The 24775-nt window shown below is 41.9% G+C and overlaps 1 pseudogene across 1 annotated transcript; it reads left to right on the plus strand.

Moving 5' to 3' along the window:
- Nucleotides 1-1597: 1597 nt before the first annotated feature.
- Nucleotides 1598-23781, plus strand: AGAP7P (ArfGAP with GTPase domain, ankyrin repeat and PH domain 7, pseudogene; annotated as a pseudogene). The gene is made up of 7 exons (NR_126580.1): nucleotides 1598-1946; nucleotides 2316-2385; nucleotides 4683-4751; nucleotides 7398-7432; nucleotides 17967-18002; nucleotides 21298-21349; nucleotides 21986-23781. The product of NR_126580.1 is annotated as an ArfGAP with GTPase domain, ankyrin repeat and PH domain 7, pseudogene (transcript).
- The last annotated feature ends 994 nt before the right edge of the window (nucleotides 23782-24775 follow it).

The following is a 24775-nucleotide window of genomic DNA, read 5'->3' on the forward strand; positions in this document are numbered from 1 at the left end:
CCCGTCTCTACTAAAAACACACAAAAAAATTAGCTGGGCATGGTGGCGGGCGCCTGTAGTCCCAGCTACTCAGGAAGCTGAAGGAGGAGAATGGCGTGAACCCAGGAGGCGGAGCTTGCAGTGAGCGGAGATCGCGCCATTGCACTCCAGCTTGGGCTACAGAGCGAGCTGGACCCTCATAGGGATGGATGCAATCCCATCACCCACTCAGATGCCTGAGACTGTGCAGAAGCAGGGCCAGTGAAAGCAGAGGGCAGATCCAGCAGTGCTTCAAGGGGCCCTGCTATGCGGATTTAGAGTCGGCCATGGACATGGCTGAAGATGGCCAGGACATAGAACAGGGAGCAACAGCAGTACTCATTGCCCGTTGGCAAACAACGCCATATTGCTATACTTTCTGATAATCATGCTTAAGCAATTGGGGAATTCAGACTACCTGGGATCAAACTATGGCCCCACCCTTAGCAGTCATGTGACCTTGGGGAGGTTACTTACCTTCTCCGTCTCAACAACTTCTGCAAAATCTGTAACATGAGATTGTTTCTGAGGGTTAAATGAGCATAGCACAGTGGGGACACTGTCAGGCACACACTACTTGCCAGATGTCGAGTATTCATCTTTATTGAAATAGGACTGTGGTAAGCCACTTTATGGCTCTCGATTTTGTATGAGAAAATCATGCTTAGTGCCTTGTTAGTAAAAGAAAGAAAACCTGAAAGTCCCTGCCACGGAAGGAAGAAATAGCGGGGAGAAAAGGGAGTTGGTAAGTTTCAGCATTTCAGAGCTTGGAGGGGCAAGTTAGGTTTCTATTTTATGGAGAAGGAGGTGGAGGCAGGATGGGTCCTAAGGTGTCATTCAAAACACACAGCCATAACTCTTTATTGAGAGTAGAGCTAGGGCCCCAGGGATTGCTGTGGTCAAGTTGCGGACAAAAATGACCACTCGTTGGAAGACAGGAGAGGAGTGTTTAGTTACAAAAGCAGTCAACAATTCAGGTGTATCTATATTCAGTCAGCAAATAAAAGTTGTTCAACTTGGTTGCTAATGGGACCCACTCTACTGAGGCTTTGTATAGAACTCATAGAGGAAGCTGGCTTCGAGGAATGAACTACCCTTTGCTTTTCTTAGGACTAAAATCTCAGGAAGCTGGTGATGAATGAAAACCTTAGTCCCACTGGCACTGCACGAGGGGCCAGGAGAGCAGCAGCATCATAAGCCACAGGGTGGGGCAGCCAAGGCAGGGGCATTCTGAGCTGTTGGGGAGGGGTGGCAGGCAGGGTGGGGCACTGTGAGGTGTCGGGGAGGGCATTGTGAAGTGTGGGGTGGAGCATTGTGTGCCACATGCCTGGGCTCCCACCTGGGGCCAGTGGGCTTCAGTCTGTAGGTGACTACAGAAGGAGGAGGAGCTCCGTCTGTTCTCTCTTCAGGCAGTTGTTGTGTCTCTCAGCGCTTGTTGGGTTCACAACCTATTAAATAAGCCGGCTGGTCTTCACCCTCCCAGACAAGTCAACTCAGGGGAGGCAGCAGGGTGCGGGCCTTGGCCCGCAGCCCTAGCCGGGGCCGGGGCCAGGGCTGGTGCCCGGGGCCTCGCTGTGAGGTAGGCAGGCGAGGAGCGGGAAGACCATCTCTGCAAGTGCAGCATAGCCTCGGCCTAGGACAGCGGGAGTGCGTGGCCAAAGCTGTGAGCAGAGGCACAGGTGGTGGCAGACAGTAGAGGCGCCCCATGGGGAACATACTGACCTGTCGTGTGCACCCTAGCGTCAGCCTCGAGTTTGACCAGCAGCAGGGGTCGGTGTGTCCCTCTGAATCTGAGATCTATGAGGCAGGAGCTGAGGACAGGATGGCAGGAGCGCCCATGGCTGCTGCTGTACAGCCTGCTGAGGTGACTGTTGAAGTTGGTGAGGACCTCCACATGCACCACGTTCGTGACCGGGAGATGCCTGAAGGTGAGGAGGTGATAGGTGCCATCTACCCTCGGTTTGCCTCTGGCTGCTACTGTCCCCAAGGTTCCCTTTGAGGCATCCCCCACTTCGAGCTCCTTTCTGCTTGTAGCCAGCTTTCCCGGGGGCTGGCCAGGAACAAAAGCTGGCTCTGCCTTGAATTCCCACCCCTTAGTCTTTCCCCACCGAGTCCAGTCAGTTTCTTTTCGCCTCCCCTCCCAATCGCCCAGTTCTTGCTCTCTCATCTCATTCTCCCAGGCTGGCATGGGACCATTTATTTATGGCTCTTGTCGAATAAGCAGCAGTTGAATAAATGAGTTGATAAATTTTTATAAATGATTACATCTTTTTTCTTTTCTCCCTCTATACACATAGCTTTGGAGTTTAACCTTTCTGCCAATCCAGAGGGCAAGCACAATATTACAGAGGAACTCTCAAACAGATGGTGAGACAACAGTGTCTGTAGCTCTGTTTATTATCCTGTGGGACTTTGTTTAGGCTTCTTTGAGCTATTCTCTTCCTTTTCTCAATAAAAACTCAAATATCCCAACTTTTCAGTACCCATCTTATTTTTTCTTTGTACCTATCCAGATGGTACCTAAGTGAAGGAACCAGGTAAGTGCCTAATTGTTTCCTTTGTTAAAGTAGCCAAATCTCAAGACAGTTCCTATTCAAATATTTGGGGATTTCTTATTTAAAATCAGAATGGAGTTTGCCACGGGAGAGGCTATATGGTATTCTTAATGGGCTGCTTTAAGTCACCTTGATAGAAGCTGCTTAGTTTCTTCTAACTGTAATTTGAACACAGAAGGAAAAAGAAAAAAGGAGAGTGCTTAAAATAATTGTGAAAGGTGTAAAATGTCACAGCCGGGGCTGCAGAAAAATGGTTGTGTGTGTGTGTTTGGGGTTTCTCAAAGGAGTTTACCTATGAAGCTCTTTTCTGTTAAAGTTCTTACTTTAACAGAAAATGTGTCTCCAGATTTATTCTGGTGACTTAACAGACTTTATTTACCTCCTTGTTCTAAAAGAGAGGTGGGGATTGGTTCATGGTCAAAACTTTCAAAAGACATGAAATGTCAATGTAGACTTTTAATGTGTAATATAAAGATTGCAGGTTAAAATGTCAGACCTTCCCTGTAAGAGTGTTTGTTGCCGTGGCTCCCCCTTTGTCCCTTCCCCTCCTGACAATAGCATCTTGTTCAAAGATAAGAAAGTTACAGTTTTGGCTGGGCTTGGTGGCTCACGCCTGTAATCCCAGCACTTTGGGAGGCCGTGGCAGGCGGATCACCTGAGGTCAGGAGTTCGAGACCAGCCTGGCCAACATGGTGAAACGCTGTCTCTACTAAAAAAAAAAAATACAAAAATTAGCTGGGCGTAGTGGCGCATGACTGTAGTTCCAGCTACTCACAAGGCTGAGGCAGGAGAATTGCTTGGACCTGGGAGGTGGAGGTTGCAGTGAGCAGAGATCACGCCAATGCACTCCAGCCTGGGTGACAGAGCGAGACTCCGTCTCACAAAAAAAAAAGGAAAGAAAGTTGGAGTTTTTTAGTCTCTACACTGCTGGCAGAGGCAGGGGATGGGAGCCGGTAGAAAAGAGAAAACAATTAGTTGGTTTGCCTCTAAAATTTTGCAAAGAGATGAATCTAAGTAAAAGTAATTCTGGGTAATAATATGGTTCTTGAATAAAAACTGAAATTTTCAAAATAGAAAACATTGCATCATAAACATATTAAATCCAGTAGGCTTATTGGTTTCATTTAAATGCCAGAGATTTCATTACTGTAGAGGAAATGTCTTATAGCTCTTCTATTTAAACTTTGGTCGGGCTCTTAATTTTTAAAGAGGTAGGATAATTAAGACTCATTATGAGTGTGACTTTGTAACTTGAAAGTACTATCTTCACATTTCAAGATATTTAAGGATTGCTTTAGAATAAACAAATGCATTATGTGAATTAATTGATTGTACCTTTATACACAAAGCATGTAAGTACTTGTGTAAACTTATACTCTGCTTGGTGATGTTCGGAAAGCCTGATGGATGTTACACACCAGTTAGTAGATGGGTAGTGTTGGATGAGAGCCCAAAAATGGCTCTTTATTGTCATTCTTTAGGATTACAACACAGTTTATGTATGTCTCACTTGGCCCTTTCCAATACAAATAAGGCCTGTGTATGTTCTCCCTATGTATTGCTAATGAAGAAATGAAAACTTAGAGATATCACATGACTATGGAAGACAGCTACTCAAGAGAACTAAGGTTCTGTGTCCTCAGAATGAAATGGAAGTGACAGATATGATGAATTTACTTTTTAAAAATTTTAAAAACTCTAGAATACATCTTATATTTTGCCTATAAAATAGACCTGTCTTTTAAAACTTACTGCCATCTTGATTTATTTTATGCATAGTTGATTTTACACAACTCAAAGCCAAAATTTACCTCTTCTTCTTCTTTTTTTTTTTTTTTTAATAAAGGAGGGTGTCATTGTGTTACTCATGCTGGCCTCAACTTCCTGACCTGGGTTCAAGTGATTTTCCCATCTCAGCCTCCTGAGTAGCTGGGACTACAAGCATGTGCCATCTTGCCTGGCTCTATCTTATGTCTATACATTCATTTCAATGGATAAGAATCAAAGTAGAGATAGTGAAATAGCCTAAATGCAGCAGCCGAATAAACGAGTTGATAAATTTTTATCAATGATTACATCTTTTTTTCTTTTCTTCCTCTATGCATATAGCTTTGGAGTTTAACCCTTCTGCCAATCCAGAGGCAAGCACAATATTCCAGAGGAACTCTCAAACAGATGGTGAGACGACATTGTTTTTTCCGCCAAGAGAAAGAATAAAAGCTCTTGTTTGATCAGGTTATAGAAAGTATTTAGAAAAACTCATATTGGTTTAAATTTTTCACCTTTTCACATGTTCATTTTCTTATTTTAATATGTGATATACTTTCCTTTAGTTGTTATGATGTTAGTGAAAATGTGTAACCTTTTTGTTTATACATTTTGGCATCTTTTTATCAACACAATTAATTTGTGATGTGATGGAGGAGTCATGGATTTCTCTTTATAATTCTTGGATTTATCTTTATTTATAATTAATGGATTTATCTTTATTTATAATCCCTTTTCCCTTGCTCCAAAAAGTACATTTTAAAGATGAATGATAGAACTTAGGCTTCAGCTTGGTTTTCATTTAAACAAATTAAAAAACATAGTTGTTTATCATCAGGGATTGAATCTGTGATTTGGGCCTCCTCTTACACAGTCCTCTGACCACATTCATTTACCACATCCAAGTTTACGCTACTCAAAAGTTTTAGGTTATTAACTTTTTCATTTGATATAATGTAAATTTAAACATGCCTTACTCCTGCTTATTTCCCTTAATGTTATGTTAAATCCTCATTTATTTGCCAACAAGCCATACACAGCCAAGTTTTCCAGTTGACTTAAACAGCAAGAACACAAGTGAGGGTTCTATAATAGTGTGCGAAGTAATGCAGCACAGTAAAACACGGGAGTTTGCAACCTTTGTTTTTATAGTTTGAGTAGACTTTGCCATCTTGAGTCAGTTATTTCTGGTTAGAATTTGTCTTCATTTTTTACATTACTATAAAGAGATACCTAAGGCTGGGTGATTTATAACAAAAAGAGGTTTAATTGGCTCAAAGATTTTCAGGCTGTACAAACATGGCTTTAACATCTGCTTCTGGTGAGGGCCTCAGCAAACTTACAATCATGATAAAAGGCAAAGGGGAAGCAGGTGGTTCCACACCGTGAAAGAGGGAGGAGAGAGGGGAAGGGGGAAGGTACCACACTCTTTTTTTTTTTTTTTTTGAAATGGAGTCTCACTCTGTTGCCCAGGCTGGAGTGCAATGGCACGATCTTGGCTCACTACAACCTCCATCTCCCAGGTTCAAGCAATTCTCCTGCCTCAGCCTCCTGAGTAGTTGGGACTATAGGTGGGCACCATAACACCTGGCTAATTTCTGTATTTTTGGCAGAGACAGGGTTTCACCATGTTAGCCAGGCTGGTCTGAAACTCCTGACCTCAAGTGATCTGCCCGCTTCAGCCTCCCAAAGTGCTGGGATTACAGGCTTCAGCCACCGCACCTGGCCAGTACCACAGTCTTTTAAATTACCGTAATGAGAATTTGCTTATTACCATGGGGATGGGACCAAGCCATTCATAAGGAATCACTGCCATTACCCAAACGCCTCCCACTAGGCCCTATCTCCAACATTAAGGGTCACATGTTAACATGAGACTTGGAGGGGCAACATATCCAAAACATATCAGAATTGTATTTCCCAGTTCCTTCCAGAGGCATGGGCTTCTCACACCTAGAGAGCATGGAAGCAGTAAAAGAAAAGCTATTCCATGTCCCTCACTCTTCGGTGGTAGTAACTTTTGCCTACAAGGCCCTCCCAGCATCAAAGGCAGAGGCAGTGTAGGAAACAAAGCATGGCCCAAGTCCCTCTTGGGGCTTTTATTATTCTGGCCTCTTTTTAGGGAAAAAAAAAATGATTTTTTGTGCTGCAGACACCATGTCCAATTAGGTTTGTATACTTATTTTAACATCAAAATTTAGGCCAGGCTCTGTGGCTTACACCTGTAATCCCAACTCTTTGGGAGGTTGAGGTGGGTGGATCACGAGGTTAGGAGATCAAGACCATCCTGGCTAACACAGTGTAACTCTGTCTCTACTAAAAATACAAAAAACAATTAGCTAGGCATGGTGGCACGTGCCTGTGGTCCCAGCTAGTCCAGAGGCTAAGGCTGAAGAATTTCTTGAACCTGGGAGGCAGAGGTTGCAGTGCGCTGAGATCCCGCCACTGCACTCGAGCCTAGGTGACAGAGTGAGACTCCATCTCAAAAAAGAAAACAAATTTAAGATAGGTTACTTTCCAGTTGTGTAAAGACCATTTTTTAATTTTGTTTTGTTTTTAGTGACATATTAGTAGATAACCACTAAGTGTGGTTCAAGATGCTTACAGGGATTCTGTTGCATCTAGAGATAGGTGTCTGGTCAGGAAGTAGTTTTTAGAACTGTTAGCTCTTAGAGTCTGATAATTAAAGTAAGCTATGTGTAAATGCAGAATGAGAGAATACTAATGGATCATGGCTCATATATGCAACAGTTAAACTTTTTATTAGCTAAATTTTTCATCTGGCCTAATTTTTTTGCCCTTTTCTTTTGTACATGAGGATTCTTTCATTTGTATGTAATAGAAACAAAAAGTAAACTAAATGAAAATCTAAGTTTTTAGATTTGACTTATGAAATTAATCATGCCAGATAATTTAAATTATATGTTATTGAAAAATTTTTTTTTTAATGGAATTTTGTCTCATTTTTCATAGGAGTAATCAGTAAGATGTTAACAACTACTTTTATTTTATGGTATTTGTATCAGAAGTGACCAGTTTTTTTTTTTTTATTCTTAGTTGTAGAAATAAGAAGAAGCAACTGTACAAACCATGTAAGTAAACACTCAAATAGTTAAGAAATTGACAGTTTGACATAAAAGGATGTCTCTCTTGATTTCTTTAAATTACAATGTGGACCTGGTGGTGGTAGCATGGACCTCTTTTTGTGGATTTTCTAAATCTCTTCTATTTTCCTGAGTGTTAAATTTATCCAGAAAAGTGCTTAGTTTAGCGTGTCCACCTTTTAAAGATTTCTGACATTTAAGTTAAATTTCAATAGTCCGGTTCAAAAGATCTGCCTTAAGGCTGGGCATGGTGGCTAACGTCTGTAATCACAACACTTTAGGAGGCCGAGGCAGGCTGATCATCTGAGGTCAGGAGTTTGAGACAACCCTGACCAACATGGTGAAATTCTGTATCTACTAAAAATACAAAAGTAGCTGGGCGTGGTGGTGCATGCCTGTAATCTCAGCTACTCAGGAGGCTGAGGCAGGAGAATCACTTGAACCCAGGAGGCGGAGGTTGCAGTGAGCCAAGATCGCGCCATTGCACTCCAGCCTGGGCGACAGAGCGAAACTCTGTCTCAAAAAAAAAAAAAAATTGCCTTAAATATTTAATCTTATTTTTAATGAAAGAACAAAAATAGAATAGCTAAGTTAATTGCCAGCACTGTCTATTGACTTTCTGTCACAGCAGGTAAAAGCATACCTTCCCCGCTACACCATGATCTTATGTTTCTCCCTGTGTTTCTTCCAATTGTAGCACACTTTTTAATTAAATCAGTAATATTTACATGATTATGACTCTGCAAATATTATTCACTGCTAAGTCATATGGTGTTTTCACTGTGCCTCTGCATTCCATGTCCTTCATCCTGTCTCTGAAACAGTTCTGAAATCTGAGGACTTCTGCAATTCTCCTGGATCTTCTTTTTTCCTAGCCTATGTTAGTTTATCTATCCAAATATCGTTAAGTAGCCTCTGGGTGCTCTGTTTGCTTTCACATCCATTATTTTTTAGCATGAAGCTAATTTTCTGACTATATTCATTTGCCTGTTTTCTAACAGCTGTTTTCCCCCAAGTATTGTAGCATTTATCACATGCCTTTCAAAGATATTTTCCATCTGCGAAAACACATCTGTTCCTTTTTATGTTTGTGTGGGGGGCAACTTTCTTTGGCCTTTTGTCATCCTAGTTCAATATAGCGTGGGTTTCCCTAGATATGCTCAATGTCTGCTTTTCTGGGCTAACTCTTTAAAGTCTTTTGGTATCTCACGTAACTGCTGTCTTGTGTGGGATCGCCTGAGTCCTAGATTCTGTGTTTCCTTCTGTCCTGTTATCGTCTCTAGTTGTACTTGAACACATTTTCCTGTGTGGAGATGTTAAAATCCCTCCTCTTTGATAGAGAGTACACCTCTAGGTTGAATCTAAATTGTATGGTTCTGAAGACATTTTGCAGTTGTGCTCTTATTACAGTGTTGTTCTTGAATCTATTGCCAGTGTGTGATACGTTATTTACAACCAGGTTTTAGTTATCTGCGGAAGCTTTTTAGAATCTCTCTCTCTAAGGTTCTGAAATTTTATAACAGCTTGTTGGGGATCTTTTCATTTTATTGAGGCTACTAAACCTGCAGACTATCTCTTCTTGAGAATTTTTTTTTATTTTCTCTGTTACTTTTTTACTGATAGTCTTGTTATTCAGATGCTAGGCTGCTTAGACCAATACGCCTGCATTGATTTTTAATTTTTCCCCTTGTATTTTTTTCAGTTTGTCTTTTTATTCTAGTTCTGGGATATTCTGTGACTTTATCCTCTACTATTTCTATTGAATTTTATATTTTTTGAGAGTGTTTTAAGATTTTTTTTTAAAGTTTTGCTCCTGATTTTGACTGGTCCTATCAATTCCTTTTTTCTATTGTTTTGATCTCTTTTCTTGGAGGCTTCCCTCCAATGTGTGGTGGTCCCTGGCCTGCTTTATTTGGAAGCAGGATTTCTGTTAACTGATAGCACTCAGTGTGAGGCCTTAGAAGCCTGACTAGCTTTTCATTTGGGAGACCTCAGTGTATTATCTGGGGATCTTTATTGAAGACATTTCAGTTTCTTCTGAGAAGGATCTCCCAATTTTCTGCCTGGAAAGGAAAAGCAGGCCTGGAAAGGAAAAGCAGAGTTAGCGAAGAAAGTTGGAGTTCCATTTTTGGTGTACAGTTTTCTTTATATCTCAGGTTTAAGCCATGGTATCTCTGAGCCAGAAATTCTCAGGTTTGATATATCCGGAGAACACACATCTAAGTTTCTTGTCAGATGGAAGGACAGGTGGACTTGGGGCTCTAGTTAGAGATTTGCAACTGACCTTGCTGGCTTTTTTTTTTTTTTTCACATTTTACCCTACTTTCCAAAGTGCCATTTGCCTGTAATTTCACAACCTGCCTTTAGTTCTGCAAGACAAACTGGCTCGCTTCTGTTCCAGTCACTTTCTGTAGGCACCAAAGTTGTGTTTCTGTGTTATTTACCACTCCTTTATCTACTTTTTATGTCTCAGCATTTATTAAAAATTATCTCTGTCAACCTTCTGTGCTGGTCATGGGTGTAACCTTTATTTTATGACTGATGAGGCTTCCGGAGGGAGACGAAATAAATTTGTGGTCAATCTATTATATTTAATCCAAATTTAGGACCTGTGTTTAAATCAAAGTCTAATTTGAGTATAATTAATGATATTAAGCCAGAGAATTTTTTAAATTAATGTATCTATAATAAGCATATTACACTTTTCTCCTAAGGCCTTGTTTAATATTTTCATTCAAAGTTTATCCACTGCCATATACTTCCCATTACTTCACAACATAGATGGAGCTGTTTTCCTGAATGCCCAAAGTGTTAGAAATATTTAAGTTAATTAAGATTTGTTTATTTTTAGCCTGGTCAACATAGCAAGACCTCATGTCTACAAAAAGGTTAAATAACAAATTAGCCAGGCCTGGTGGCATGCGCCTTTCGTATTACCTACTCAGGAGGCTGAGGCAGAGGATCGCTTGAGCTCAGGAGTTTGAGGCTGCAGTTAACTATAATTGCACCGCTGCACTCCAGCCTGGGCAACAAAGGGAGACCCTGTCTCGGAAAAAGGAAAAAAGTTACTAATTCTTTTTTTTTTTTTTTTTTTTTTTTTTTTTGAGACAGAGTCTCGCTCTGTCGCCCAGGCTGGAGTGCAGTGGCGGGATCTCGGCTCACTGCAAGCTCCGCCTCCCGGGTTCACGCCATTCTCCTGCCTCAGCCTCCCAAGTAGCTGGGACTACAGGCGCCCGCCACTACGCCCGGCTAATTTTTTGTATTTTTAGTAGAGACGGGGTTTCACCGTTTTAGCCGGGATGGTCTCGATCTCCTGACCTCGTGATCCGCCCGCCTCGGCCTCCCAAAGTGCTGGGATTACAGGCGTGAGCCACCGCGCCCGGCCTAAAGTTACTAATTCTTTAAAAACCTATCTAAAATTTGTCCTGCCCAAAAGGAGAGTGAAAAATATGAACTTTAGTCTTTGTTTTATTTTATGTTTGCTGAGAAAAATGCTGTACTTTATTTATTTATTTATTATTTCCATAGGTTTCTGGGGGAACAGGTGGCATTTGGTGACATGACTAAGTTCTTTAGTGATGATTTGTGAGATTTAGGTGCACCCATCACCTGAGCAGTATCCGCTGAACCCAGTTTGTAGTCTTTTATCCCTCACCCTCCTCCCAGCCTTTCCCCCAAGTCCCCAAAGTCCATTGTATCATTCTTATGGCTTTGCATCCTCATAGCTCAGCTCCCACGTATGAAAGAGAACATGATATTTGGTTTTCCATGCTGAGTTATTTCACTTAGAATAATAGTCTTACTTCCATCCAGGTTGCTGGAAATGCCATGAATTTATTCCTTATTATGGCTGAGGTGGTATTCCTCATATATATATATATGTATGTATATCACGGTTTCTTTATCCACTCATTGATTGACGGGCATTTGGGCTGGTTCCATATTTTTGTAATTGTAATTTGTTTGAGTTCCTCATAGATTCTGGATAATAGCCCTTTGTCAGATGTATAGACTGTGAAGATTTCCTCCCACTCTGTGGTTGTCTGTATACTCTGCTGATTGTTCCTTTTCCTGTGCAGAAGCTCTTTAGTTAAGTCTCACCTATTTGTTTCTGTTGCATTTGCTTTTGTGTTCTTGGTCATGAAGTCTTTGCCTAAGCCAGCGTCTAGACGGGTTTTTCCAATGTTATCTTCTAGAACTTTTATGATTTCAGGTCATAGATTTATGTCCTTGATCCATCTTGAGTTGATTTTTGTGTAAGGTGAGAGTTGAGGATCCAGTTTCATTCTCCCGCATGTGGCTTGCCAATTATCCCAGCACCATTTGTTGAATAGGGTTTACTTTCTTCACTTTATGTTTTAGGTGGCTTTGTTGAAAATCAGTTGGCTATAGGTATTTGAGTTTATTTCTGGGTTCTCTATTCTGTTCCATTGGTGTATGTGCCTATTTTTATATCAGTACCATGCTATTTTGGCGACTATGGCCTTATAGTATAGTTTGAAATCAGGTAATGTCATGCCTCCAGATTTGTTGTTTTTGCTTAGTTTTGTTTTGGCTGTGCCGGTTCTTGTTTGGTCCATATAAATTTCAGGATTGTTTTTTCTAGTTCGGTGAAGAAGGATGGTGCTATTTTAATGGGAGTTGCATTGAATTTGTAGATTGCTTTTGGCAGTATGGTCATTTTCACAATATTCATTCTACCCATTCATGAGCATGGGGTGTCTTTCCATTTGTTTGTGTCCATGACTTCATTCAGCAACGTTTTGTAGTTCCCAACGGCATATCAAAAAATAATCGGGCCAGGCACGGTGGCTCACACCTGTAATCCCAGCACTTTGGGAGGCTGAGGCGGACGGATCATGAGGTCAGGAGTTCGAGACCAGCCTGGCCAACATGGTGAAATCCCATCTCTACTAAAAATACAAAAGTTAGCCGGGTGTGGTGGTGCTCACCTGTAATCCCATCTACTCAGGTGGCTGAGGCAGGAGAATCGCTTGAACCTCGGAGGCAGAGGTTGCAGTGAGCCAAGATCACCGCACTGCATATTCCAGCCTGGGCAACAGAGCGAGACTCCATCTCAAAAAAAAAAAAAGATAATCCACCATGATCAAATGGGTTTCATACCAGGGATGCAGAGATGGATTAACATACACAAGTCAATAAATGTGATACACCACATAAACAGAATTAAAAACAAAAAATCACATGATCATCTAAACAGATGCAGAAAAAGCATTTGACAAAATGCAGCATCCTTTTATGATTAAAACCCTCAGCAAAATCAGCATACAAGGGTCACAGCTCAATATAATAAAAGCCATCTATGACAAACCCACAACCAACATAATACTGAAAGGGGGAAAAGTTGAAAGCATTCCCCCCGAGAACTGGAACAAGACAAGGATGCCCACTCTCACCACTTGTATTCAACATACTACTGGAAGGCCTAGCCAGAACAATCACACAAGAGAAAACAATAAAAGGCATGCAGATCGGTAAAGAGGAAGTCAAACTGTTGCTGTTTGATGATGATATGATCATATACCTAGGAAACCCTAAAGACTCCTCCAAAAAGCTCCTAGAACTGATAAATGAATTCAGCAAAGTTTCAGGAGACAAAATTAATGTACACAAATCAGTAGCTCTGTTATACCCCAGAAGCGACCAAGCTTAGAATCAAACCAAGAACTCAACCCCTTTTCTGATAGCTGCAAAACTAAACTAAACTAAAATAAAATACTTCGGAATAGACCTAACCAAGGAGGTGAAAGATGTCTACAAGGAAAACAACTTTAGTATTTTTAATGGGTTAAAATGAGAGGCAGCAGGTACAGCAGAAGAAGTCAGTGCGTGGGCATCTGCATCCAATGGGTACTGCACCTTTGATGGTAAAGCTTTGGTTTTGACTTACTAAATTACTAGGTACGATTATTTTCTAGTTTTTGTCATTAAACCTTAAAACTACTAAGTAACCCCTTCCATTTCTTGTTAAATACTGTAAAATTTCATACTCTCATTTATGCTGCCTGACGTTAGAGTATTTGTTTCTATTTTGTGACTACCTTAAATAATACCTATAAAGAGTAAACTGTTAGTAGTGTTTTTGCTGTAATTAAATGTAGTAAGACTTACCTTCCAAATGATAACTGAATTGTCAAACACTTGTCGAAGTTTTGGATTTACTCAAAATTCTATGCTCAGCAGCTGGAGGTAGGAAGAGTAAGGGCCCTCCCTTACTCTTATGGAGAGGCATACTTTCTCACAAGGGGAATACTCTGCAGGAATTAGCATCTTGTAAGCAGTGGTGAATTCAACTAATTAGTGTATAAAAATACATTTTTTGGTGTGGCTGCCGACAAAGAGATCCAAGAGGGTAGATGGAGTCGAGCTTGCTGAAGCAAGGAAAGAGAAAAGCAGTATTCTAGGCAGAGAGCAGGGGTAGAGCAGGAAAATGGCTAGGTGCAGGTCAGATGATTTATAGAATGCAATTGATCAAGTTTTGAAGTGAATGCAAAGTATTCTCCGAGAGTCTCATTTGAGTCATGTCTTGGCAGTCTTATTTAAACATGAAGTGAAAGTTAGATTTTTTAAGTTGTCATTTGTTTTCAGGGTGTGAGAGAATATTTAAGTGATACTCTTTTTATCCTCCACATAAGAAAATAGGACTAGAGAAACCTATGGCTTCCTCACTTGTTGGTGGCCTAGCAGCCCTGGCACACAGAGCCTCTGAATCTGAAACACTTCTTTTGTAACAATATCACCTGAAATAATACATTTAGGATTAGTAATTTAGTAAATGCATTAGTCTTGTATTCACTGCAATAAAATGCTCTTGTAGCAGGATTATTTAATACATTACATTTTATCGTAGTAAATAAATAATAGAAGGGCTGGGCGCCGTGGCTCAGGCCTGTAATCCCAGTACTTTGGGAGGCTGAGGCAGGCAGATCGCGAGGTGAGGAGATCGAGACCATCCTGGCTAACACGGTGAAACCCCGTCTCTACTAAAAATACAAAAAGTTAGCCGGGCATGGTGGTGGGCGCCTGTAGTCCCAGCTACTCAGGAGGCTGAGTCAGGAGAATGGCGTGAACCCGGGAGGCGGAGCTTGCAGTGAGCCGAGATCGCGCCACTGCACTCCAGCCTGGGCGACAGAGCGAGACTCCGTCTCAAAAATAAATAAATAAATTAATTAATTAATAGAAATTCTCAGCTGCTTTTTATTGCTGCAGAAAAAAAATGAAATCTTATTTTAAACTTTTCTTTTTTTTTGAGATGGAGTCTCACTTTGTCTGCCGGCCTGGAGTGCAGTGGTGCGAACTCGGCTCACTGCAAGCTCCTCCTCCTGGGTTCACCCCATTCTCCTGTTTCAGCCTCTCAAGTAGCTGGGACTACAGGGGCCTGCTACCACGCCCGGCTAATTTTTTGTATTTTTAGTAGAGACGGGGTTTCACCATGTTAGCCAGGATGGTCTCGATCTCTTGACCTCGTGATCCGCCCGCCTCCACCTCCCAAAGTGCTAGGATTACAGGTGTGAGCCACCGCGCCCCGCGAAGCCGACTTTTCCCATTATTTTTAACGGTAATTCATAAAATCCTTGTTAGGTTTGATGACAGGTACCATATTAAGGGCAGCATTTTATAACCCATATCTTAAACATCATCTCTGGAAGTTGAGAGCCTCCAATGGGTTTTCTATAGAGTGCACATGATACCACACTCAGGCAGTTCATGGAGTGTAAGACATATCTTAGTGCTTTGTCATTTGACATTTTAACTGAGAAAATAATACACTTTGATAAGTTTGACTTACACTTCCCTTCCCCTTCAGGTATCTACTGTGCATTTCAGTCAACAATACAGCTTGTGTTCGACAATATTCCTTGATGACAGCACAGCCATCCAGCATTATCTTACAATGACAATAATATCATGAGTACAACTATGCTGCCGAGGGACAGATTCCTTTATTCTAAAATTATTTCAGTCATTTGGTTGTCCTTTTCAGCAATCAGTTTAAGAAATTGGAGTCAACCATATATTGATATCCAGATTCTGAATATTAAGTATCAGTTTCTCTTTTAATCTTAGACGTCGTGGTGGAAGGAAAAATCAGTTAGCAAAGAAGCAATCCCAGAAACAGTGTATCTTTTTGATGCCTTTATGCCTTTAGACAATGTTGAACACAGTGAGAAGGATAGGTTCCCTTTACTGAATGTTTTTTGTGGAAACTTAGTTTTTCAATGCATCATAGGCCTAAATCAGTGTGCACTACTTTGGACATTATCCTTGGAAGAAGGAACAGCTTTTCTTCTTCTGGCACCACAGTGTATCTGCATTTGAATTTCTCCCATTGTGCATGAGCACCTCATGGGCCACAAAGATGCGCTTTGAGAGCACCCTGAGATGAAGTTTATTTTAAAAGGAACAACAACCAACACCACCACCAGCTCCACAGGGGCTGTCCAGTGTACATTATTCTCATCTTCTTGGGTTATTAGTCTTGATTTTTAGAACACAGTTTGGAAAGTGCTAATTTAGAATATTAATGTCTTTATCTTTAATTTAACTTTTCATTCTGTACACATAACTAGCTTATAAACAATTTTGTTTCAAATGCACTAGCCTTTTTAACTAATTCAATTGTCAATAACTTTTACTTCAATTAAAAGTGGAAAGTTTACACTCATAATAATGTCACTTTCCTCCCTCCCTTTTAACAATAGTTGAGAGGAAATTGTGTTTCGAACAAAAACTGGACTCAAACTCTGTCTCAAGTCCTGAGCTTTGGGACCTATTGAGTAATCACTAAATGTCTGTAGTCAGCTAAGTCTCTTAAATCTCTGAGCACACATACACAAAAATTACTTTGACTAGAGTCCCTGGCTTCTTCTGAGTTCCAAAGATTTTGATATGTTAGCATATAATTCAAAAGCAGCTTTGAAGATTAATTTTGCTGAAACAAATTTCGTGCTTTTCTCCTCATTATTCTACTTTTTAGAAGTCTACTTTTGAGAGTATAGTAAGTTTTAATTTGCCACCAGCAAGTTTGAGAAATGATCATTTGGTGTATTCACTATTGGTGAAATAAAGTTATTGAACAAATTAATAGGGCAAATTGGCTTCAAGAAGATATTTTGAAAAATGTTTTATCATGAATCAGTAGTGCACTGTTGTCAGTGGGATAGGTGGAACTCGCTGAGATCACTTATGCAAGGTTTTTTTCAAAATACAAGTCTGCAAACACATGTATCTTCCCATCTCCACTTTCCCTCTATCTCTAGGCACTGAGAAGCCTTTTAGGAAAATCGGGATGGATGTGAGGCATCTTTCTGTGAAGAAAAGCATCCCAGAAGATTCTGATTTTCACCCCAACTCAATCATTCCAAACTTTGCTGCTGATTGAAATCACCTGGGAAACGTTTACCAAGAACCTTGATGCCCAAAGCCATACCCAATACTAATTAAATTAAAATGTCTCATGTGGAAGATGAGGCAGATATTAAAGCTTCTCAGGCGATTTTAATGTGCAGCAAAGTTTGAGAGCCACTGCTTAATTTGAGTTTAGGATGAGAAACTGCTCCTATTTGGTGGGACCTTGGGCAAGTCAGTTTTAAGGTCTGTTTCCCTGATCTGTAAAACGAGTGTTGAATTAAATGTCACATAAGGTCATTGGTCCTTTCCAGCATGTAACTTTAAATTCTGTGATTTTAAAATTATTTCAGAGATGAAAACTACTTGAAGCACTATAGACATATCCATCTTACCTGCTAATGTTACAGGCTTTTTAAAAAGTGCTAATATTGTGTAGACCTATTAGTAGAATTGAGATTTGCCTTCCCTCAGTTGTTTTGAGCCTCACTCTACAAAATTAGCTGGGTGTGGTGGCACATGCCTGTAATCCCAGCCACTTGGGAGGCTGAGGCAGGAGAATCTCTTGAACCCGGGAGGCAGAGGTTGTGGTGAGCCGAGATCACACCATTGCACTCCAGCCTGGGCAACAAGAGCGAAACTCCATCCACCGCCCCCCCCCCCCAAAAAAAAAAATTATCTGGGCATAGTGGCACAAACTTGTAGTCCCAGCTTCTTGGGAGGCTGAGGCATGAGAATCGCTTGAACCTGGGTGGTGGAGGTTGTGAGGAGTCAAGATGGCACCACTGCAATCCAGTCTGAGCAAGAGAGACAGACTCTGGGTCAAAAAATAAATAAATACATAAAATAAATCGCATGGGACGAAAGGTTTCGTGGGTAGAAAAGCATATAACAAGGAAATCTGTTATTATTTATATATTGTAATCACCAACAGAAACGCGTCTTCTAACGGCATATTTCCTTGCATTTTGGTTCTCATATTTTTGTAAAAAACAAAGAAATGAAAACAAAGTGCCCTTATGGTACTGTTCTGAACTAGAAGATTTGAATTTCAGGGCCGCTAGGAGAGTTTCCTCTGCCCCCCTTTTAAAAAATGTCTTCAGGCCTAACAAATGTTAACATCTATTGTTATGAATTTTTTTTCCTTCCACAGTGTGACCTTGGAGATACCTCATCATATCACACAAAGGTGAGCTTTTTAGAAACCTGTCTTGTTATTCTAGCTAAGTACTTTGCAAGATATCAAGCTCAGTGTTAGGTCACAGCTCTAGACATCATAAGCTGTATTGTGCCTACTAAAATATTGAAGCAAATTATTTGTATTTTCTTTGTTCCTTAAGACTCTCATAATTCTTAAATGATTGAGAATCTCAAAGAGTATGTGTTTATATTGATTATATTGATATTTAGTGTGGTAGAATTATACAATTGAAATTTTTTCAAAATCTATTTTTAGTTTAGATTTCACAGCCTTACCACTGTTGATATTATGGGCTAGATAATGCTTTGTTGTGAGGACTGTCTTGTGCATTGCAGAGAGTTTAGCAGTATTCATGGCCTCTACCAACTAGATGTCAGTAGTAACCCATGACCCAGGTTATAACAACAGAAAATATTCCTTGAGAACAGTATTGTTAACAGAATTTTTTCATTGAAAAATAACTTCTCTACAACAAAAAGTTGAGTAAAAAGTGCGTCATGTATTTATATTATTTAAAGTCTCTCATGTTGAGCTTAATAGGAGACAAATGGATTCTCTAGAGCTTTCTTTGCAATTTGCTTTAAAGCAGCAATAAGAGGTTGGGCACGGTGGCTCACGCCTGTAATCCCAGCACTTTGGGAGGCTGAGGCGGGCGGATCACAAGGTCAGGAGATCGAGACCATCCTGGCTAACACGGCGAAACCCCGTCTCTACTAAAAATACAAAAACTTGGCTGGGCATGATGGCACGCACCTGTAGTCCCACCTATTCTGGAGGCTGAGGCAGGAGAACCGCTTGAACTTGGGAGGCGGAGGTTGCAGAGAGCTGAGATGGTGCCATTGCACTGCAGCCTGGGTGACAGAGCAAGACTCTGCCTAAACAAACAAACAAAAAAAGCAATAAGCTGGTGGGGCGCAGTGGTTCACACCTGTAATCCCAGCATTTTGGGAGGTCGAGGTGGGTGGATCACTTGAGGTCAGGAGTTTGAGACCAGCCCGACCAACATGGTAAAACCCGCCTCTACTGAAAATACAAAAAATGGCTGGGCATGGTGGTGCATGCCTGTAGTCCCAGTTACTTGGGAGGCTGAGGCAGGAGAATCGCTTGAGCCTGGGAGGTGGAGGTTGCAGTGAGCCGAGATCTCGCCATTGCACCCCAGCCTGGGTGACAGAGAGAGACTCTGTCTCAAAAAAAGAAAAAAAGAAGCAATAAGATGACCTAACCTCATGCAAATATGTAGTTGGTAGAAGGTGTATTTTTAAAGTTTTCAGATAGTTGTGGGTATTTGTTAACACTAAATCAAAACTTCACAAGTGGTGGTTTCTTAAATTAGTTACGGTGTCATTTTACATATTAATAAATTTATTCCATCAGTACTCGTTGATCTTTCTTGCACAGTAAATGGATCTTTTGCTCCATACTTGCATTTATAATATCATGCATTAGTTACTTGGAATATATTGGTTTATGTTTTATTGTGTCAAAAATCACTTTTAGTTTAACCACCAATCTTACTTTAACACACCTTTAAGTATTGAAAAGCTGCCAAGCCTACAGTAGAAGGAACAAGTTTTTCAAAGTCCACAGGAAAGCTTAAATTTTATCATTGGGAAAAAATACGTATTTCCCTTGAAGTGACAACCTCTCACTTCATTTATTTTTGAGAATGATAGTTGAACTGGTTTTTTAGACCGAGTTTCACTGTCACTTGGCTGGAGTGCATTGGCATGATCTCAGCTCAAGCAATCCTCTCACCTCAGGCTCCTTTGTAGCTGGGACCACAGATGTGTGGCACCACGCCAGGCTAATTTTCTTATATGTTTGACAGTGACAGGGTTTCGTTATGTTGCCTAGGCTGGTCTCGAACTCCTGAAGGAGCTCAAGCCATCTGCCTGCTTTGGCCTCTCAAAGTGCTGGGATTTTACAGGCGTGAGCCACTGCGCTGGCCTAGTTGTACTTTTAAATAAAAATGATGTTCTGTGAAAAAAGTGATTTTTCAGTTCACAGTTAAATCACGGATTCTTTAAAAACAAAAAAAAAGCGCTTCTGGTTAACTTTCCACTTATTCAGAATATTAGAGACATGTCAAGATTTAACAACATTAATTTTTACTGCTTCATCAAAGACATTCTTAAGAAATTCAGGCTATGTTTTTTACCTGTACGGGACAGTGAAGAATAGAATGACTACTAATGTAATTGGTACTACTGCCTTGATTTATGCTGAGAAACCAGCCATTGTACCCACTTTTGCTTTTATATAATCATGGCAAGTGTCAATGAAAAAGCAGGCAATGACTTTGTATTACTTTCACAAATTTTTAAAATTTTTCATCAGCTTTCTCAGGTTTAATTAGTATGATTCAGAACAGTGTTGGCCAGGCACAGTGGCTCAGGCCTGTAATCCCAGCACTTTGGGAGGCCGAGGCAAGCGGATCACCTGAGGTTAGGAGTTCAAGACCAGCCTGGCCAACATGGTGAAACCACATCTCTACTAAAAATACAAAACTTAGCCAGGAGTGGTGGCAGGTGCCTGTAATCCCTGCTACTTGGGAGGCTGGGGTAGGAGAATCACTTGAACCTGGGAGGCGAAGGTTGCCATGAGCCGAGATCACACCATTGCACTCCAGCCTGGGCAACAAGAGTAAAACTTGGTCTCAAAAAAAAAAAAAAAAAAAGAACAGTTATGACCTCTTAGGCCTTCTGGAAGGGGTCTTCGGGATCCCGAGAGGTCCACACAGCACATTTGGAGAACCACTGGTTTATACACAGGCACAATGCATTAGTTTTACAAAGTTTAAAGTTCATCAAAGACTGGCCTCTTAAAAAGGCAGATGAGTTTGTCATTCAAACAACAGAAAGTACATAAATACATCATGAGAGTATACTACAGAGAACTAAAGAGAAAGGAAGCTAGGAAATCTGAATCACATTTACGTTTATTAAAGTTTACTACTACTGCTTTGTAGAACATTCTTGTGTTTCAATGTGTGGTTAGAAGAGTGAAAATATGTTTGGTTTATTGCCATGGCCTGTTAGGGAGAGTCAATACTCACGGGCATTTCTGACTGGTTATCATACAAAAGACTTCACGGTACAGGCCATGATGTGCTGAGAAAGAAGAAGTCAGGAAACCCTCTGCAAGTCAGGATCCAGGAGAAGAATTCGTAAAAACTGCTTTGGTAAAGTAAACACCAAAGCACACAGGAGGCAGTATTTTACTAAACAAATATTATACTAAGATATTAACAGTTTTTGAAGTAATGCGCTTTCTTATTTTATAGAGATGCAGATAGATCTTTGAGCATACCTGATGAACAGTTACACTCATTTGCGGTAAGTGGCACTTTTATTGAGGTTGTATTTTCATCGTACACTTGTATCTGTTTCATGCTGAAGTCAAAGCCATCTTTTTTTAAATCTTCCCCATTTCATGTTGCATTTAGTCATCTTAAGTGTTGTAAAAAGAATGTGCTGGAGTAAGAACTGATCTGCAGCTCTGTTTAGTTAGTGAGCTAGTATGAGTAAATATACTATCCAAACAACAGAAAATGTATCTTTTTTTTTCTTTTTTTGATGGACTCTCTTTCTGTAGCCCAGGCTGGAGTGCAATTGCGCGATCTTGGCTCACTGCAGGCTCTGCCTCCCAGGTCCCTGTTCAAGCAATTCTCCTGCCTCAGCCTCCCGAGTAACTGGAATTACAGGCATGTGCCACCATGCCCAGCTAACTTTTTTTTCTTTTTTCTTTTTTTTTTGTAAAGACAGGGTTTCACCATGTTGGCCAGGATGGTCTTGAACTCCTGACCTCGTGATCCACCCACCTTGGCCTCCCAAAGTGCTGTGATTACAGGTGTGAGCCACCATGCCTGGCCCAGAAAATGTATCTTTTTAAAAGGTAATTGTGAGCTGTCTATAGGACCCTGCAAGCCACTACCCAATTTTTGAAGCCATTCCTCCTTCTGTTCCACACAGGTTTCCACCGTGCACATTACGAAGAACAGAAATGGAGGTGGGAGTTTAAATAACTATTCCTCCTCCATTCCATCGACTCCCAGCACCAGCCAGGAGGACCCTCAGTTCAGTGTTCCTCCCACTGCCAACACACCCACCCCCGTTTGCAAGCGGTCCATGCGCTGGTCCAACCTGTTTACATCTGAGAAAGGGAGTGACCCAGACAAAGAGAGGAAAGCCCCGGAGAATCATGCTGACACCATCGGGAGCGGCAGAGCCATCCCCATTAAACAGGGCATGCTCTTAAAGCGAAGTGGGAAATGGCTGAAGACATGGAAAAAGAAATACGTCACCCTGTGTTCCAATGGTGTGCTCACCTATTATTCAAGCTTAGGTGATTATATGAAGTATATTCATAAAAAAGAGATTGACCTTCAGACATCTACCATCAAAGTCCCAGGAAAGTGGCCATCCCTAGCCACATTGGCCTGCACACCCATCTCCAGCTCTAAAAGCGATGGCCTATCCAAGGACATGGACACCGGGCTGGGTGACTCCATATGCTTCAGCCCCAGTATCTCCAGCACCACCATCCCCAAGCTCAACCCGCCCCCCTCTCCTCATGCCAATAAAAAGAAACACCTAAAGAAGAAAAGCACCAACAACTTTATGATTGTGTCTGCCACTGGCCAAACGTGGCACTTTGAAGCCACGACATATGAGGAGCGGGATGCATGGGTCCAAGCCATCCAGAGCCAGATCCTGGCCAGCCTGCAGTCATGCGAGAGCAGTAAAAGCAAGTCCCAGCTGACCAGCCAGAGCGAGGCCATGGCCCTGCAGTCGATCCAAAACATGCGTGGGAACGCCCACTGTGTGGACTGTGAGACCCAGAATCCTAAGTGGGCCAGTTTGAACTTGGGAGTCCTCATGTGTATTGAATGCTCAGGTATCCACCGCAGTCTTGGCACCCGCCTTTCCCGTGTGCGATCTCTGGAGCTGGATGACTGGCCAGTTGAGCTCAGGAAGGTTATGTCATCTATTGGCAATGACCTAGCCAACAGCATCTGGGAAGGGAGCAGCCAGGGGCGGACAAAACCCACAGAAAAGTCCACGAGGGAAGAGAAGGAACGGTGGATCCGTTCCAAATATGAGGAGAAGCTCTTTCTGGCCCCACTACCCTGCACTGAGCTGTCCCTGGGCCAGCAGCTGCTGCGGGCCACCGCTGATGAGGACCTGCAGACAGCCATCCTGCTGCTGGCACATGGCTCCCGTGAGGAGGTGAACGAGACCTGTGGGGAGGGAGACGGCTGCACGGCGCTCCATCTGGCCTGCCGCAAGGGGAATGTGGTCCTGGCGCAGCTCCTGATCTGGTACGGGGTGGACGTCATGGCCCGAGATGCCCACGGGAACACAGCGCTGACCTACGCCCGGCAGGCCTCCAGCCAGGAGTGCATCAACGTGCTTCTGCAGTACGGCTGCCCCGACGAGTGTGTGTAGTATCTGTTTTATTTGACTGCAGTCTCCTTGGTGCAAAAACAAAATGGGAAAAATAAGGATAACTCAGAATTTCAAAAGGAAATCACAAATTCAGCTAATAATAGCATTTTCAGTACTTTTCGTAAACTAAGTAAATACACAAAATGTTGATTTTTCTGACCATAAGACGTATTTTATGTCCTTTTGCCAAGGTGGATTTGTTAGTCTCAGGCCCTCCTGGCCACATTGCCCAAGTCACACAGGCTTCTGTATTATGTATTTAGATAAAATGTGTGAAAATATATTTGAAATAAAGTTCATAAATATGCATTGATTTTTTACACATGGCACCTCTTTTTCATTTTTATTTTTATTTTTTTTTGGACGATGTTTTGCTCTGTCGCCCCAGCTGGAGTGCAGTGGCGTGATATCTGCTCACTGCAAGCTCTGCCTCCCGGATTCACACCATTCTCCTGCCTCAGCCTCTCAGGTAGCTGGGACTACAGGTGCCTGCCACCACACCTGGCTAATTTTTTGTATTTTCAGTAGAGACGTGGTTTCACCATGTTAGCCAGGATGGTCTCGAACTCCTGACCTCGTGATCCACCTGCCTCGGCCTCCCAAAGTGTTGGGATTACAGGCGTGAGCCACCGTGCCCAGCCCATGGCACCTCTCTTAATTTATAAATTGAACAGGATGTGAAGTAATAATGTCAGCTAGTTGAGATAAGAGAGTTACAGTTCGGCTGGGCGCAGTGGCTCACACCTGTAATCCTAGCACTTTGGGAGGCCTAGGCGGACTGATCACCAGGTCAGGAGATGGAGACCATCCTGACTAACATCATGAAACCCCATCTCTACTAAAAAATACAAAAAATTAGCTGGGCATGGCCGGGCGTGGTGGCTCACACCTGTAATCCCAGCACTTTGGGAGGCTGATGCAGGCGGATCACGAGGTCAGGAGATCAAGACCATCCTGGCTAACATGGTGAAACCCCATCTCTGCTAAAAATACAAAAAAAAAAAAAAAAAATTAGCCAGGTGTGGTGGCAGGCACCTGTAGTCCCAGCTACTCGGGAGGCTGAGGCAGGAGAATGGCGTGAACCCAGGAGGCGGAGCTTGCAATGAACTGAGATTGCACCACTGCACTACAGCCTGGGCGACCAAGCGAGACTCCATCTCAAAAAAAAAAATTAGCTGGGCGTGGTGGCGGGCACCTGTAGTCCCAGCTACTTGGGAGGCTGAGGCAGGAGAATGGCATGAACTCAGGAGGCAAAGCTTGCAGTGAGCAGAGATTGTGCCACTGCACTCCCGCCTGGGCAACAGAGCGAGACTC

The sequence above is a fragment of the Homo sapiens genome, chromosome 10, assembly GCF_000001405.40.
Source record: "Homo sapiens chromosome 10, GRCh38.p14 Primary Assembly".
NCBI lineage: Eukaryota > Metazoa > Chordata > Mammalia > Primates > Hominidae > Homo > Homo sapiens.